Source organism: Homo sapiens, chromosome 2 (assembly GCF_000001405.40).
Source record: "Homo sapiens chromosome 2, GRCh38.p14 Primary Assembly".
Classification (NCBI taxonomy): Eukaryota; Metazoa; Chordata; class Mammalia; order Primates; family Hominidae; genus Homo; species Homo sapiens.
The window spans coordinates 132,646,724-132,662,812 of NC_000002.12; the positions used below are offsets into that span (position 1 = coordinate 132,646,724).

A 16,089-nucleotide genomic window follows, 5' to 3' on the forward strand; every position below is an offset into this window, starting at 1 on the left:
TGTTGATGAAATCCTGGAGTTCTTTGAAGACAGACCAAATCCCGAAGGGAAATAAATGTATCCCTACTGAATGGGCCCTGAGTTTTCCACGGGATTTAGTGAAGGGGCACCTGGCTGACCGTGTGTCCCTCACAGTCTTATTCTAAGGAGAAACGCTCTGTCGTCAGGACACATGGCCATCTGCCAAGCCAGTACCACGCAGCTAGCACTCAATGACACACACTGGGTGCAAAAAAAAGCTTCCCAAGAAGACTAGGGGGCCTGTCTCAAAGAGCATGTGTGTCCTGTCAAGCTGCAGTATAGTCAGTCATCAAATTAGGGTGTCTTAATCATAAGGTGGAAGTTTATTCAATTCAAATAATACTAGCTAAACTTTTATTTAAGGGCTTCCCTGTCTGTCTCCCAGGCACTATTCAGACACCCTTAGCGTGTCAGCTTCTTCACTACCCCAAGCAATCCTACAAGGGAGGCCCTCATGATTACCCCCATTTTACAGATGTGAAGCCTCAGGGCTAGATTTAGTAACTTGCCCAAGGTCACATGAACAGGAAGTGGAGCAGCTGGGATTTGAACCCAGCATTCTGGCTCCATGCTGTCAAGACGGTGTTTACTGTATAGCAGTAAATTGGATTGCCAATTAACCACAAAAATAACCGGGGATTTTTTAGGGGGAGAGGGTTTACTTTGAAGATAGCTTTTGTTGTGTATGTATGTGGCTTTTTTTTGAGACGGAGTCTTGCTCTGTCGCCCAGGCGCCCGCCACCACACCCGACTAACTTTTGTAGTTTTAGTAGAGATGGGGTTTCACCGTGTTAGCCAGGATGGTCTCGATCTCCTGACCTTGTGATCCGCCTGCCTCAGCCTCGCAAAATGCTGGGATTACAGGCATGAGCCACTGCGCCCGGCCATATGTGGCTATTTTATATCAATGAATTATTTTTTTTGGATAGATGATAGTGTTTAATACTAAAGCTAGACTTAGAATTAACAGGTCTTAATCCTGTTTGCTGCCTTGCACAGCTGAGGGATATAGCATCCCACCAGCAGCCGGGGCTCCTTACCCACTCCTTTCCTGCAGGTATGTGGGCAGGTGTGGTTTTGGTTTTGGCTCCGTCCTCGAGAATTGCCACTTTGGGTGCTATAGAAACATTAAGGAATGAAACTGCCTAAAACTTCCAAGTGGGAGGTAAAGAAGTACTTTAGATTTACCGTAAAACATGCAATTTTATGTCATTTTTTCCCCTCTAACTGCATGTTTGTAGGGATTGATTTTCTAAGACCATTACAAAATCCTGGAAGGCAGCTGCTCTGGTAAGATAAAGTCGAGGTACAGAGGATGCCTGTATCTATGTGTGGGAGGCACTGTTTGATTTCTAAGGAATACACTTCAGGGAATTGCCCATAGTCTCTACATTTGCCATCCATGGCCCTTTTTAGGAAATCATTCTACTCTTTTTATTCCTAAGTATGAAAAACATTAACTGGCATTTATTTGCCACTTCCACTACAGTGACCTTTTTTCTTTAAGTGAATTTTTAAACTTTTAAAAAAATATTTACTGAATGTATTTTTCTCTGTATAAAATTTCAGTCAGTAAGGTGAAAATGGACCTTGAGTACCCCTGCCTGTTCCAGGCCCTCCGCCGTGTTCCCCTAGAGGCAGATGCTGTCATCAGTGTGGCATGCCTTCTTCCAGGCTGGTTTCTGTACATTTACATATATGCCCACAGAGAAATAAAGTCCGTGTGTTTGCACACAGTTGTATCACATCCTATACGCTATTCTGCAATTTGCATTTTTATTTAGTGACATGGCTGGGAGCTTATTTTTAAGGCGAACTTTGCAGGGTTAAGGATCAGTGATGAGGTAGGTTAGTTGGATAAATAGTGCATGTCCTTATGAAGAGATGGACTAACAGAGCCATAATCTTTACAACTGCTAAGACCCTCATGTCGTTAGTCAGAAACAATTTATCTTCATAAGGAAAGTTGGGGAGAGGTACAAGCTCTCAAGTTGGTGGTTCAGGAACTGAGGGCACCACAATGAGGCTTTCTGAAGGGGAAGGTTGACAGCTCCATAAGGGGCATTTACTAGATGTTCCAAGAGGGAGGATGGGGAAAGGTGTCTGATGTCAGATAGGTGTGTCCATTGCCAGGCTGGCCGCTCCAGGCCAGGCACCCTGAGGAGGCATGAGGGTCATGAGGCTCAGGGTAGCTGTGGGCTTCTATGAGCCTCCCTTGGTTAAAATCTAAGTCTGGAAACTGGCACGAGAGATGCTTTGGGTGAGATTGGATGTGATTAAAGATGTTTCCAACCGGATGAAAGGAAATGTGGACCTAGGCATCAAGGTAAGTGACAGGCAACTGGCTGGTGTCAGGGTATGGAGGAGCTAGCTTTGGAGACATTCAAGAAGAAAAAGTGTGCTAGTTCTAAACTGGGCAGTGGCAGAGGAAGCAGGTAGGAGGTGTTGTGCTAATAGAAATGGGGAAATTTGAGATTAAAGAGGGCTTTCAGAAAACAAAGGCATTTTACTCATCTTTTTGATGAAAATCCACGTGGTGGAGATAACACTGTGCCTCCTTTGAGAGGCATGGGATGGGGCTGAGTGGTGAGGCTGGGGCAGAGGGACTGATATTTGGAAAGGCTGATGTTTGGAGTCTGCAAAGAAGTGGAAATAAGCCACCTCTCCCATGGCTTCAGATAAAGAAAGAAAAGCTTTCCAGGTTCATTGTAGGCACTTCAGCAGGCAGGCTGGCGATGGGAACGGAGGTGCAGGGACAAACGGGAATGGTTTTGGGGAATGCTGAGAGCTGCCCTGTAAGGAACATGTGATTGAATACCACACAGGCTGCTAGGTAGCTTTAAGAAAATGGCCCTGAGGTTTAGGCACGAATGGCTGCCTGCACTGGTGCAACTGGTGAAGAAAGCCACAGGAGAGAGTCGAAGGCACCAAGGAGTAGAGGGGTGTAGAATAAAGACTCACACTGGAAGGAAATAAGGAATGCTGCCAGGTGGGGAGGGCCCAGTGAGGACTTAGAACTCCTGAACAGTTCCACCATTCACATGCTTAGGATAAATTCCAAGTAGATCTAAGATTTAAATGTTGGGGGATAAAAACCCCATAAAAGTACTAAACGACACTTTGGAACCTTGGGAGATTTTTTTTTTATGTAAGAGTTGTAAAGGCTATTCTATGACATAACACCCAGAAGCCATTACAGAAAATATTGAAAAATTAGACTACACACACACCCACAAACTCTGCCTAATAAAATCCCTATATGTAAGACAAAAAGACAAGTGAAACATTGGAAAAAATAATTGTAACTCAAATCACAAAGCAGATTTCCTTAATATGTAAAAAGGTCCTAGAAATCTATAAGGGATAAATAATAAATCAGTAAGGAATAAATAACTCATTAGAAAAATAGGGAAAGCAAATGAACAGACAGTTCACAGAAAACGCAACAGAGCTTTGAAACACATGAAAAGATACTCTCTCATATCATAAGAAGAATGCAAATTAAAACTACACTGAGATGCCATTATTATTTATCACTTGGGCAGAGATTTAAATGTTTATTATAAACACTGTGTTCATGAATCTTATAAAAAGGCCCTTTCCCACATTGTTGGTTAGGAGAGTAAATAGGTATAATTTCCATGAAGGCAACGTGGCAATAGCTATCAACATTGCAAATGCATGTACTCTGTGACCTAGCAATTCCACTTTTACGCATGTACCCTACAGACATACTCACATACATACAAAACGACTATACACAAGGTTATTCATGGTAGAGTAGAGTGTCATGGCAAAAGAATAGACCATCACTCTATCTATCACCAGGGAAGTGGTAAATTTCCAGTGTCTTATCTGCACACTGCAATTCCACAAAGCCATAGAAGATGATACTGAGTTAAAAACAAAGCAAAGTATGTCTGGAAGTTCCCTCCTTCCTTTTCTCTCCCTCCCTTCCTCCTCCTTCCTTTAAAAAAAAAAAACAAAAAACAAAAACAAAACCCAAATGAGTTTATGCTTCTTACTATGCTTCAGATGCAGTTTTAAGAGCTTTATGAATATTAACTCATTTAATCTTTGTAGTAACTCTAGCAATAATCCTCATTTTGCAAGTGGGGAAACTGAGGCAAAAATAGGGTAGGTAATTTGCTTAGGGTCCATTCAGGTAATATGTTGTGGAGCTGGGATTTAAGCCCAGGAGATCTGGATTTATAATCTGTACTCTTAACCATTATACTACACTGCCTGCCATGCTATAACATGCATCCATTGGGGAAAATAAAAATTAAACACATTTTACATGCATATGCATAAAAATGTATGGAAAAATACACAAAAAAGAGATAATATTGGTTGTCTCTGGCGTGAGATTCTAGGCGGCCACAGGATAGGAGTGGGAAAAAGACTTTTGACCCTTTCTTACCATTTAAAATCAGAACCACGAGAAGAATGATTTTTAAAATGACGTAAATAAACACCCGCAGTCAACCATCCTCAAATGGCTTCTTTCTCTGTGTAGTACAAGGTTCTTCCTAGCTATGTCCACCAGAGGGCTCTAGGGAATGACCACTCTCAAGAAAAGAGCCACCAGGAGCTGCCCCGAAGCTCAAGTCTCAGGGTCACGGGGCAGGGGTATTTGTGCCTGTGGTTCTCTCTGCTTTTCCTTTAACCAGGACCCCATAAGCTCAGGTCTGGGCCTGAGGGAGGAGGAGCTGTGAGGAAAACAAGGGCCTTGTCATGGACTGCTGGTGGGAGCAGAGACTGGCATAAGGGCAGTCAGAAGGATCTATAATTCAAAATGCAACAAATAAAACAGTCCCATTCCTCACCATGTACCTTCAAAACAAAACACACTTTCACATCCTTAATAGGGGAAAGGTACATTTATACTATACATATTAAGCAGCAGTTAAAGTACAGAGCTCTATTCTGATCTGGAAGGTTCTCAATGACAGTTCCAGAATGATAGTTAAGCATACCATTTATGTAAGAAAGAAACCACAAAGCAATATAATACGTGCTCCAGTGGTGTGTCTGCAGGGGGATGTGTGTGCACACATGTAAGTGCGTGAGTTGCCATCTCTAAGTCATATCATGGCAAGAGGTCCAGAGGCAATGCACCAGTGTGGTCCCTTGGGTGGTAGTTTGACGGGTCCACAACACGATGAGGCATCTCTGAAACATGAGACAGGTTTGGCAAAGAACACCACGGTTCGGCACAACTGCAGCAGCAACATGGGCAGGAAGGAATGGCTGGGTTCTAGCTGGACATGGGCCTGGTTTCCCTGAAACCTCATGGCTGGCCTCAGAAACCACCACTGCCGGGTTAGGGTAGGAGAAGGTCATGACCAAGAACAGAGGGGGGACATCGTTTGGAGACTTCCCCAAAGAACTGAGAGATGCTTCCTTCCCTTCATCCCTGCATGATTTTTCTCTTAATCGCTTCTAATACACTACAGATTTTACTAGTGTGTCTTTATTAATAGAACGTAAGCTCCAGCAATCAGAACAGTGCCTGGCACATAACGACACAAGTATTTACCAAAGGAATGAATGAATAAATGAAGGGAGGAAAAGGAAAAGACGACAGAAGGAAAGGGGGTTATTTGAAGGGGGTCTGGAAGTGCTTTTCTGACTGGTTTTGAGTAGGATTTTATTCCTACATTGGTGTCACCTGGGTAACAGAGTTTACATAAAGCTACAATTCACCTCCAGGCCTTGGTTGACAAAGGCAGAACTGTGAGAGGCTCTGATCTTAGTTAACGCAGATGCAGACCCAGAGCTAGAAGGCTCAACTGGTAGATGAAGGGCTGTCCATCAAACGTGGCTCGGATAATCCCAGCTTGGACCAGCTCCCAGCCGCCCTACCCTGCAGAGGCACAGAGATGTGTCCTGCCAAGACCAAGTCATTTCTCACGGCTCTAATCCGCAGACCAGGAGTGTGCCCATGGAACACACCACCCACTATCACCAAATTAATCAAGCCACCCAGCGTTTAAAACTTTAATCCTCTTTAAGTCTTTAGAGGGGTAATGGCCTCCTGGGGGCTCTTGGATTGAGATGGGTGGCTATGCGTGCTTGCTTTAAAAATACCACAAATTGTTCTCCCTGAGGAAGTCATTTGTATTAATCTGCCTTATTTATTTGGATGTGAATGATGGGCATGCCAAGGAATGAAGGAAAGGATAAACAAAATACTGAGGTTACTTCCCAGGCAGTTCATTCCACTGCAGCCATTGTACCTATTCCCTGGGACCCAAGAAATCAGAATATTAACTTCTTTCACCAAGCTCTGGAGTTTCCAGAAGCCATGATCCTCTCCTTTAATGGCCTTATCATTAAGTAGATCCTCATGTACTTAATGGGATGGAGGAAACTAAAGAAGCTCATGTCCATATTTCATTCTAATTCTGAAATAATTCCTTACCCTGAGGAAAGAACATGAACCCTGGAGTCTAACAGACCTAGACTGGAATTCTCCCTGAGCCACTTCCTTGGATAATACACTTCACTTCTGTAAGCCTCAGTTTGCCTTTCTGGACCAATGACCCAGTGGACAAAGCTGGAGTTTTGGTTGGACTTTCCAACTTCCCAATGGACAGAGCTGGAGCAATTTGAGCAACAAAATAAATAATGATAGTATTGGATTATAACCCCATCCAATCAGGTAAATACCCATGAGTTCATGCTGACATAGATAAATGAGTAAATAAGTATGTGCAGAAGAGACAAGTTTTTCTTACAGAAGGATTCCAGTTAATAAATGCAGAAGGAATGAGGGAAATAGAAATTAAGATTAGAACACCATGGTAACAACTGATGTGGGAGAGATCCACCAAAAGACACTGAAATTATTGGCCAAAGTTGGAGGAGAAACAGTGTATTTATATAGTTTCAAAGTATCTCCCTCAAGTTATTTATTAATTACAATGGAAAAAATAGTAACTTTACAGTGGAAAAACCCAGCAGATACTATCTGAATCAAAAGCGATCAAAGTTAACATCACCAGTAAGACATTGACAGCATGCGCCCCTTGCTACAGTGCACTGAGAAGGGTGCATCTCTTCTGAGGATTCTTGTCAAAAATGCAAAACCTCTATCTGTTCATGAGAAAACAGCAGACAATCCCAAACTGAGGGACAGTGTACAAAAATCTGGACCAGTCCTCTTCAAAAGTGTCAACATCACAAAAGACATGGAAAGAATGATGCATTGTCAGAGGTTAGAGGAGAAGGAGACATGACAATGAAATGCAACGTGGGATCCTGGATAGGATCTTGGAACAGAAAAAGGCAAAACTGTGGGAATCTCAAAACAAAGCATGGTTTCATTAACAGTACTGTGCCAATGTTAATTTCCTAGCCTTGATCATCGTACTGCGGTTATGTAGATTGTTAACACTAGCCAAAGATGGGGGAAGGATATATAGAAACTGCACTATTTTTGCAGCTTTTCTATAAGTCTCAATTTATTTCCACATACAACATTTTTTAAAAGACATTGGTATCAGCTGGGCATGGTGGCGCTTGCCTGTGGTCCCAGCTACTCCGGAGGCTTAGGTGGGATGATCATTTGAGCCTGGGAGGCAGAGGTTGCAGTGTGCTGAAATTGTTCCACTGCACTCCAGCCTCGTGACAGAGTGAGACCCTGTCTCAAAAAAAAAAAAAAAAATTGGTACGAATGTGGGAAAAATCTCCATGTTCTTTCTGTGCTACACGTACCCCCAACAAATGCAGTGAAATACGCTTGACCACTCTCATGCTGAGTAATAGGGTGAGTGCATAGTCTGTGTGTAGGTGACAGATATAGCCCCAACCATCTGTGCTATTAACTGCTTAACTCTTGCCTCAAAGGGCTTGGAGGCTCCTGAAATGACTGGTTTTCATTGTGATGGGAAGAGAACATTACTGAAGGAATGTTTTTTCTTCAGTCTCAACATCCATCCATGTAAAAGGAAACAAGGAGTCAATTAGTGTGACTCCTGGCCTCTTTCCCATTTATTTATTTATTTATTTATTTATTTGATGGAGCCTCGCTTTGTCACCCAGGCTGGAGTGCAGTGGCGCAATCTCGGCTCACTGCAACCTACACCTACCAGGTTCAAGTGATTTTCCTGCCTCAGCCTCCCAAGTAGCTGGGACTACAGGCGCCTGCCACCATGCCCGGTTAATTTTTTGTATTTTTAGTAGAGACGGGGTTTCACCATGTTAGCCACGATGGTCTCGATCTCCTGACCTCGTGATCCCAAAGTGCTGGGATTACAAGCATGAGCCACGGAGCCCGGCCTCTCTCTCCCTTTTTAATTCTCTCTGCCCTAAGAGAGGTGGAGTGATGTGTCTGATTGGTAAATTTGGAAAGAACAGACTGGGCACACGCTGCTTATCCCTTTCCTGTTCCTTCTTGAAATTGAGTGACTCATAGCAAACAGGTATTCTGCCCTGCTTCTCAGGGCAAGAAACTTCCCATATCTGGTCTTGTCTATGACTGGGTCAACCAGCCGGTTTGGAGATGCCAATTTGAAAGCTCATTTGACCCCCATCCCCAAGTAATTCCCTCCAACTTAGACTTTCTCAGTAGCAATGGTGATATTTCAGGCCTCATCTGCCTCGTTCCTTGTTTTATTTCTTAATTTCCTTAGAATCTGGGTGAGAAAGAAGGTTGATAACCATTGGACACTCATTAGACCCCAGTAGGTGCCATTTGTCCCAGTTTGCACAGTGTCCTAGAACTTAATTCTAAAGCCATGATTCTCTTGGGGGTTGAGAAGCATTTTTTTTTTTTTTTTTTGAGATGGAGTCTCGCTCTGTCGCCCAGGCTGGAGTGCAGTGGCGCCATCTGGGCTCACTGCAACCTCCGCCTCCTGGGTTCACGCCATTCTCCTGCCTCAGCCTCCCAAGTAGCTGGGACTACAGGTGCCTGCCACCATGCCTGGCTAATTTTTTGTGTTTTTAGTAGAGATGGGGTTTCATCGTGTTAGCCAGGATGGTCTCGATCTCCTGACCTCGTGATCCGCCCACCTCAGCCTCCCAAAGTGCTGGGATTACAGGCGTGAGCCACCGCACCTGGCCAAGAAGCATTTTCTAAACTAATCTTCTCCTACAAATAGCCCCTGGACCTTGAGGATCATAAATGGTCATCATTTAACATTTTTTTCTGCTAGAAGTATTGAGCCTCTTTGTTGTATTGAGACCAAAAGAAGATCTGTCACCCCCCTCCACTCCCCTACAGATGTACATACAACTTTCGGCAATCTCAGAGAGTTTGAAGCTACAATTCTATTACAAACGACGTGCTACAAGTATGCTTTTAAAATAAATTATTTTTCCAGTTTTTTCACTTTAACCTCTGCCCCAGTGGTCGTAAAAACAGAGGCATGGAGACTGAGTTCTTTTCTGTGGACCATTATGCATCTATCTTTTCCAATAGTTTCCTTTGCCTCTGCTCTTTTTTGCTGTACAAAGACAGAAATTTCTAAACAGAGCCTTTAATAGTCCATTACTTTTTACCCATGTTATGCAATGTAGCTTTAAAGACGAACTTTTCCAGCAAACTGCTGCTTGTGTGAATGCCTGTTTGGGAGTGAGACTTCCCTACTGGAAAAATAACTAACACACACTACACCATAGTTACGATTACATCACAATAAATATTCTATGCAGGACTAGGAACAGTTCCTCAAAGAAAAATGCTTGGGGAACGGGTAATTGGAATGAACTACAAGCATTTTCACTGAGCTCAAAGAAACTGCAAGAAAAAAGATCTTCGATCTGCATCCAAGTATTTTTTTTGTCTGAAAGAACACTGTGTGAGGAATTTTGACATTCTCTGCATTCTAATGAAAATGACTTGGAAAGTAGAGGCTTCTCTATACATTTGCCTCATTGCCGCCACGATGGGCACCGTTTATCAGGAATAAAGAGAGAAGATCAAGAAAGTAGTTCTTTTCTGGAGAATTTTGTGCTCTGGCTCTTAAGTACTTTTGCTTTGCCATGAATGTGAATATTTTAAAGGCCAAAAAAGCCCCCTCCATTTGAGTTGCAGATGGCCACAGGAACCCAACAAGAATGCTAACAACTCATTTTAAAAAGGGAAAAAGAAAGGAAGTGCCAAGTTCCACACTGCATATCCATACTGATGTTGAGCCCATCTTGGCCTAGCTGGTAGAACTGAAAATTGAGAATAATATTAAGGGGCTGCAATGATCCCTAAGGGTAAAAATAAATGTGTTTCTGAAAACAACAGCCACATCCACAATGAAATAGACATGAAACAAGATAACCCAAGAACACATTTGTTTTCCTTGTAACAGGGATGCGTTAAGTTCATTATTCAGAGGACTTTGATTACCCTTTTCAAAGATTTTTGGTGAGTTTAATTTTCAAGGCTGTTAACCACTGATGTCAACTTAATTATAGCAAGCAAACAACCAACCCATAATGTATGATGCCAATTGTTGGTTTTACTCTAGTCTTGCATTAGACTTGGATTTCTTTGCTCATTTATAACTTTCTGAGGGAGGAAGGTTTCTGCGCAGTCACTTGCTTTCCCTTAGCTGGTGTCTTTGTTCTCCAGTTTGCCATGGGGGATTGAGGGAACAGATATTTATGACTTATTATCTCAGTATTAACAGTGCCCCCTCAATGATTTATGAAGCTGTGCTGTTGCATTTCTAACCTTGATGTCCTTCTGATTATTGTTCTCAAATGGTAAGATTAACACAGTGGGGCCCAAAGATTCTTAATCAGTTTCTTGCATACAAATTCACCCAAATGTAGGGAAGAGAGAGTCCTTGGTGGCATAACGACTTCCAGATGGAATGAACTGAGAACATCTAAGCACTTAACCCAAAGCACCCTTATATTTGTCACCATGAACATGATGTCCTCACACTAAAATTTAGTTATACTTTTGTATCTCAGCATTCAATGAACTAGAATTCTAGAATGGCATGTACATCTTGTGTTAAAGTTCAGGACATTTGTTGGTATATGTGTTTCTTTTCTTCCAAAGGGTGACAGTGATCCAGGATGAAGGTCCTTTGACTATACATTTCAGCGTTCAATTGAGGTAAAATAATGGTGATTTTCGGGAAAGAAAAATTATCCCTGTCCTTTTTCCAGGGGTCCCTGGAGGTACTTTGTTGAATTTTTCTAATCTTGTGCATGGACTTCTCAAAAGCTGATCTGGCAGACAATCACAGTTGGCCACTCAGTCACTACCCTTACAGCTACTAGCGGCCATGAGACAGTGATCTGACCCATGAAATGTAAAGAGAATTTCTGGGGGGACTTTGGAAACTCTTTTGCGTTCTCATTAAAAGGCAAAGCTTAAGACACAAGCTCTTTGGTGCCATCCCTTCCCTTGAACCTGAATACAGTGATCATCTTGTGATCAAGAGGCAAGAAACCTGAGGACAAAAAGCCAACATGCTTAGGGAAGTAAGAAGAAAAATGGAGAAATTTTGAGTTTTTGATGACATCACTGGGCTGTAGGAGCAACCCCAAGATCACCTATGTAGACTATCTTGTTACATAAACAAGAAATGCCTTTATGGTTTATGTCCCTGCTACTTGCAGCCAAAAACATTCTTATGTGATACAGGAAGCAAGGTCTAGGGTGGAGGCAAGAACAGAAAGGACGGGGGCAGCAGTAATGGCTGGTAAATTCTGTTAGGAAGTGTTGCCCCAGAGACTAATGAAGGGATGGAAAATGCTGCTTGATGCCTAGGAGCTGTTGCAGCCATAGCTGCCTTGGCCTTCCACCTGAGGATGATGCCAGGTTTTGTCAATATCATGACAGTGATATTAATGATATTCAACAAAGGGGGCAAGAATACAAGCAATTAGTTGAATTCTTAGAGCTCAGTGAAAGAGTGTAAGGGCAAAGCAGACAGCAGGAGAGTAAAAACGAAGTTTGTTTGCTTCCCTTTGTGGTTTAATTTGCCCAAACTGAATGGTTTAGAAGTATATCCCTCAGCTGAAAGTCTAACTGCCTGTGTCTTGTGGAACATACCTGTATTTGTAACTTGCATCTTCTGTGTGGGTGAGGACCAGGGGGCATAAAACCATGTGGGGGGATTTTCCTTCTTCCCAAGGGAGAGCTGATGACCAAGGCTGAATTCCAAGGTAGCAGAGTTCCAGCTGAGGACTGGCCAGTGGTAACCTGGACCCCAGCTTCCTCAACCACCATATAAGCTGGTGTTGTAGAGGTGTGTGTGTGTGTGTGTGTTTCTTGAAAACACTCCTATTCAAAGCAAAGCCAGGTCAGCCTTAAAAGCAAGCTGACAAAAAGAACTATAAAACCAGGGGTGGATTACATTTCAGAGTGGTTCCTTAAATTACAACTATCACTAACAGGCATTAGTCAGCTATTTCTAGTTTAACTAAAAAGTAAAAGGTATATTCAACTTGTCTTTATTCTATTTTTCTTCTTATGCTAAACATTTAAGCTCCTTCATTTCTGCTATAATATTTTGAAATGGTGATAAATCTGTTTTAGCTTGAAACTTGGTTTCTTCAATATACGCAGTCAGCAAATAGTTATTGCGTGTCTCCATACCAGTGAGTGTGTGTGTCTGTGTAAGACAGAGGGAAGGTGAGGTAGAGAGAGAAAGAGAGAGAGAGCATGAGAGAGTGTGCGTGAGAGAGAGCCAACAGCATCCTTTCAGGATCTTGTACATAGAAATGAAAGCCGTGAATGAAGCTGTAGTTCAATTTGATTAGGAAAATGCACTCTAAAATACTGAGAGGATGTGATGCCAGGCAAACTGAGCTGCTGGCTGGAGAACACTGAACAAAGATGAAATTGTTTCTGGATCTTAACTCACTCTTATGCAGAATGTCTCCTGACTTGCTTTATCCCTCTTTCCCTTGCAGCAGTCAGTGACAGGCTGGGTGGAAAGTTGTCCTTCCTCTCAGAGAATGTTAACTCATCAGCCTCCAGGTGTGGCTCCGGCCTATTGGCTGCCTTTCCCTTTGAAGGCACAGACACTCTTGAGAGAATCTTGAGCTGGCTTTGGAGCTGGGACCCCTTTGCACTCCCACTTTGGATGTCTTCACTGGGTGGCAGACTAGTCAACCCGCTAGGCTCTAGCTATTTCTGAATAGGTTCTTTGAAGTTACTGGAGACCCAAGTGGTTTGCTACATTTTGCATAAGTAATAGAACAGTGCATAAACCCCCTTGCCCAGCATCACTTAATACACCTGCTTCTGCTGATGCTCTTTGAAGATGCCTCCGTGGAGGGCATTGCAAACTGCTCTGCACATTCATATTCAACCCGTGTGCAGTATGCATGGACCACTGCAGGCTGAGAGCCGCGTGCCTGGCGCGGCCCGCCTCTAGCACTGTCTCCAGTCATTCCACTGTGCTCACAAAGAAGTCCAAGAAATAGAAAAACATAAAAAGCTATTGTCCATGTCCAGTGAGAAATGAAATGCACTGGACCGCGTATCACAACTTCCTTAAAATAATACAACTTTATCACTTTTGCATCTGATCCTGCTCATGGTTTGCAAAGTCATAAACCCCTTGAAATCAATAGCTTGAGCCATCGCTGCTCTATTCTATTTAAACACATCCTCTAAAGAAGCAATTTATTACGAACTCTCTATGGTTTCACCTTATCTAAAACACTTAATTCAGTCCATCTCCTGCTTTGCTTTGTAGTGTTGGAAGCAATCAGAAGACTGGAAGCAATTTACTAATAAGAGAACATGCCCTACAGCTCTGGCCTGTGAAAAGAGTTTCAGAATCACGATGTAGCCACAAGTCAAATTCTAGAAAGAATTAATGGCACATCTCATAGTTCTTTCATTTGCTGGCTGATTCATTCCAGGTATGATTGAAAATCCTCCATTACAGGTATGGCCTCTTTTGGTGTTCCCAGGGTAGGAAACACATTGTCTTCTACCAGCAACTTTGCTCCAGCTCCCTGAAATATAGTCACTTCTACCACCATGAAAACTACAAAGCAAGGGAGAATCCAGCTTAGTCTTCTAGAAAAAATTAACAGAGAAGAAAAGATATGTCTCATGGTTAAATGAGTAAGGAGTTCTGCCTATACAAAGGCTGTAATCAAATGATTTGGTTTGGGGGACAAAAGCTAGGCTTGTGCATGGACATGGTATTCATTGTAGACGACCAAATCATGCCAGCATCTGATCTCTTTAACCAAAACCTTTCTCCACAACCTCTCTCAACCTGCTTTATCCTCAAGCTTTCTCAAGGGAAGAGAGAGAAATGGACTTATCAAGATGCTTAAGCCCCCCAGGAAAGAAAACTCCCTTCTGCACCACAGTGTACTCCTCTGTAAAGTGAAAGTGTGGACCAGAGAGAATAGGGTCTCTTCTAGCCTTAGAGGTGTGGGATTCTTGAGGACGGTGGCCTAAGAGTGAGGCCAGATGTGGAGCTGGGCATCTGGGACCACCAACAGGGGCCTCAGGAATAGCCCATCCATGTGCCTGAGGATTCCTGTGTTTAAAAGAAACTAATTCAAGATCTCAAGGGAAAACAGATGAATTATATAATAGATGGGCAAGAATGGACAGTCCAGTACATGGCACCAAGCAGATGTTTGATGAACACCAATTCCTTTGCCGAAAACTCACTGGAATGGCTTGCTCTTGGCACATGTTGTTACTTTAATTCAGCAAATTGGCTAATTGGCCAGTGGAGTTCTAAGATTCACAGCCATGCTGCATCCCATTCCATTCTCATTCTATCCCATTCCATAAGGTAGGGATCTGCTAAACCTGAGCTTTCTTTTTAGATATCTGCCCCAGCAAGAGGAAGGACACATCTACCTATGGAATAAAAAACAAAACAAAACAAAAGTGGAAGTGGTATGGATGAGCCATAAAACATGATCCTAAGCAAAAGCAGCCAGCCACAAAAGGCCACACAGTATGAGATTTCACTTACAGGAAATGTCCAGCATAGGCAAATCCATAGAAGCAGAAAGCAGATTAGTGGTTCCCAGGGGCTGGGAAAAGGGGAAAATGAGGGGTGACTGCTAATAAAATAAAGTTTCTTTTGGGGTGATGAAATGTTCTTGAACTGGTGGTGATAGTTACACTTCTCTATGAATAAACGAAAAACCACATAATTGCATACTTTAAAGGGTGAATTATATTTCAATAAAATTGTTGTTAAAAATACAAAAAAAGCGGGAAAACATAGAAAATGGCACCACAGCGGAAAAAAAAAAAAAAACCTGGAGAAGTGAAAGGTACTTGAATTCCTGTCCCACTGGCTGTGTGATCTTGACTTTTCTGTGTCTTAGATTCACCAACTATCAAGTGGGGATATTATCTCTTTGTGAACCTTCTAAATTAACTATGAGGATACTACTGTTAGGAACTAAAGGCTGAATTCAAGGACTCCCTCATTCTGAGAAATATAGAAACAGTGTACAAACTAACTTGTACTATAATATCTGGGCCACCCTTCAGAAGCAGGTATGGATAGTGAATGGGGCAACTCCTGGTGAGCATCAAGACAGGTTTCCATGTCTAGCACTGGTTCCTTGAAGATGGTTATACTGACCGCATTTCTCATTCTCTTGCTGTATCTCATAAGAAAACAGTCAGCCTGTTTCTACATTTTACAAGGGGGGAGGCTAAGCCCCTGGGATATTAAGTAAACTCTTTCAAGTTACCAAATGTGAAGAACCTAGAACATAGGGGTTCTCTCCCCTAAGGGAGCCAATACACTTTCCATTGGACAAGTAAAAAATAGGGGTTGAAGTGTTGAGTCCTTTTGCACAGTGTGCTAATAAACCTTTGCTTAGTTTGGACATTAGAACCTAAGTTGGTCAATTAGGAAGGAAGGAAGGAAGGTAGGGAGGGCGGGCGGGAGAGAGGGAGGGCAGGCAAGGGTACACTGTCTCTCTCAAAGGCTGTAGATTCAGAATTTTTGTTTCAGGAGTATGTAAGGGAGGCAGATTTCCTTTTCAAAGTTCAAAGAAAATGGTATGTTTTGTTTTCATACTTCGTTTCATTTTCACTTGGGAAAAATGCCCCAGCTTTGAAACCTCTCTGTTTAAACTCATTAGGAAAACTATCAATGA

General features: G+C 42.6%; 1 protein-coding gene across 4 annotated transcripts in view; it reads right to left on the bottom strand.

Annotated features, from left to right (window-relative positions):
• LYPD1 (LY6/PLAUR domain containing 1) overlaps positions 1 to 16,089 on the bottom strand; it is a 28,241-nt gene that overhangs the window by 3,438 nt on the left and 8,714 nt on the right. The gene's annotated exons all lie outside the window — the stretch shown is intronic.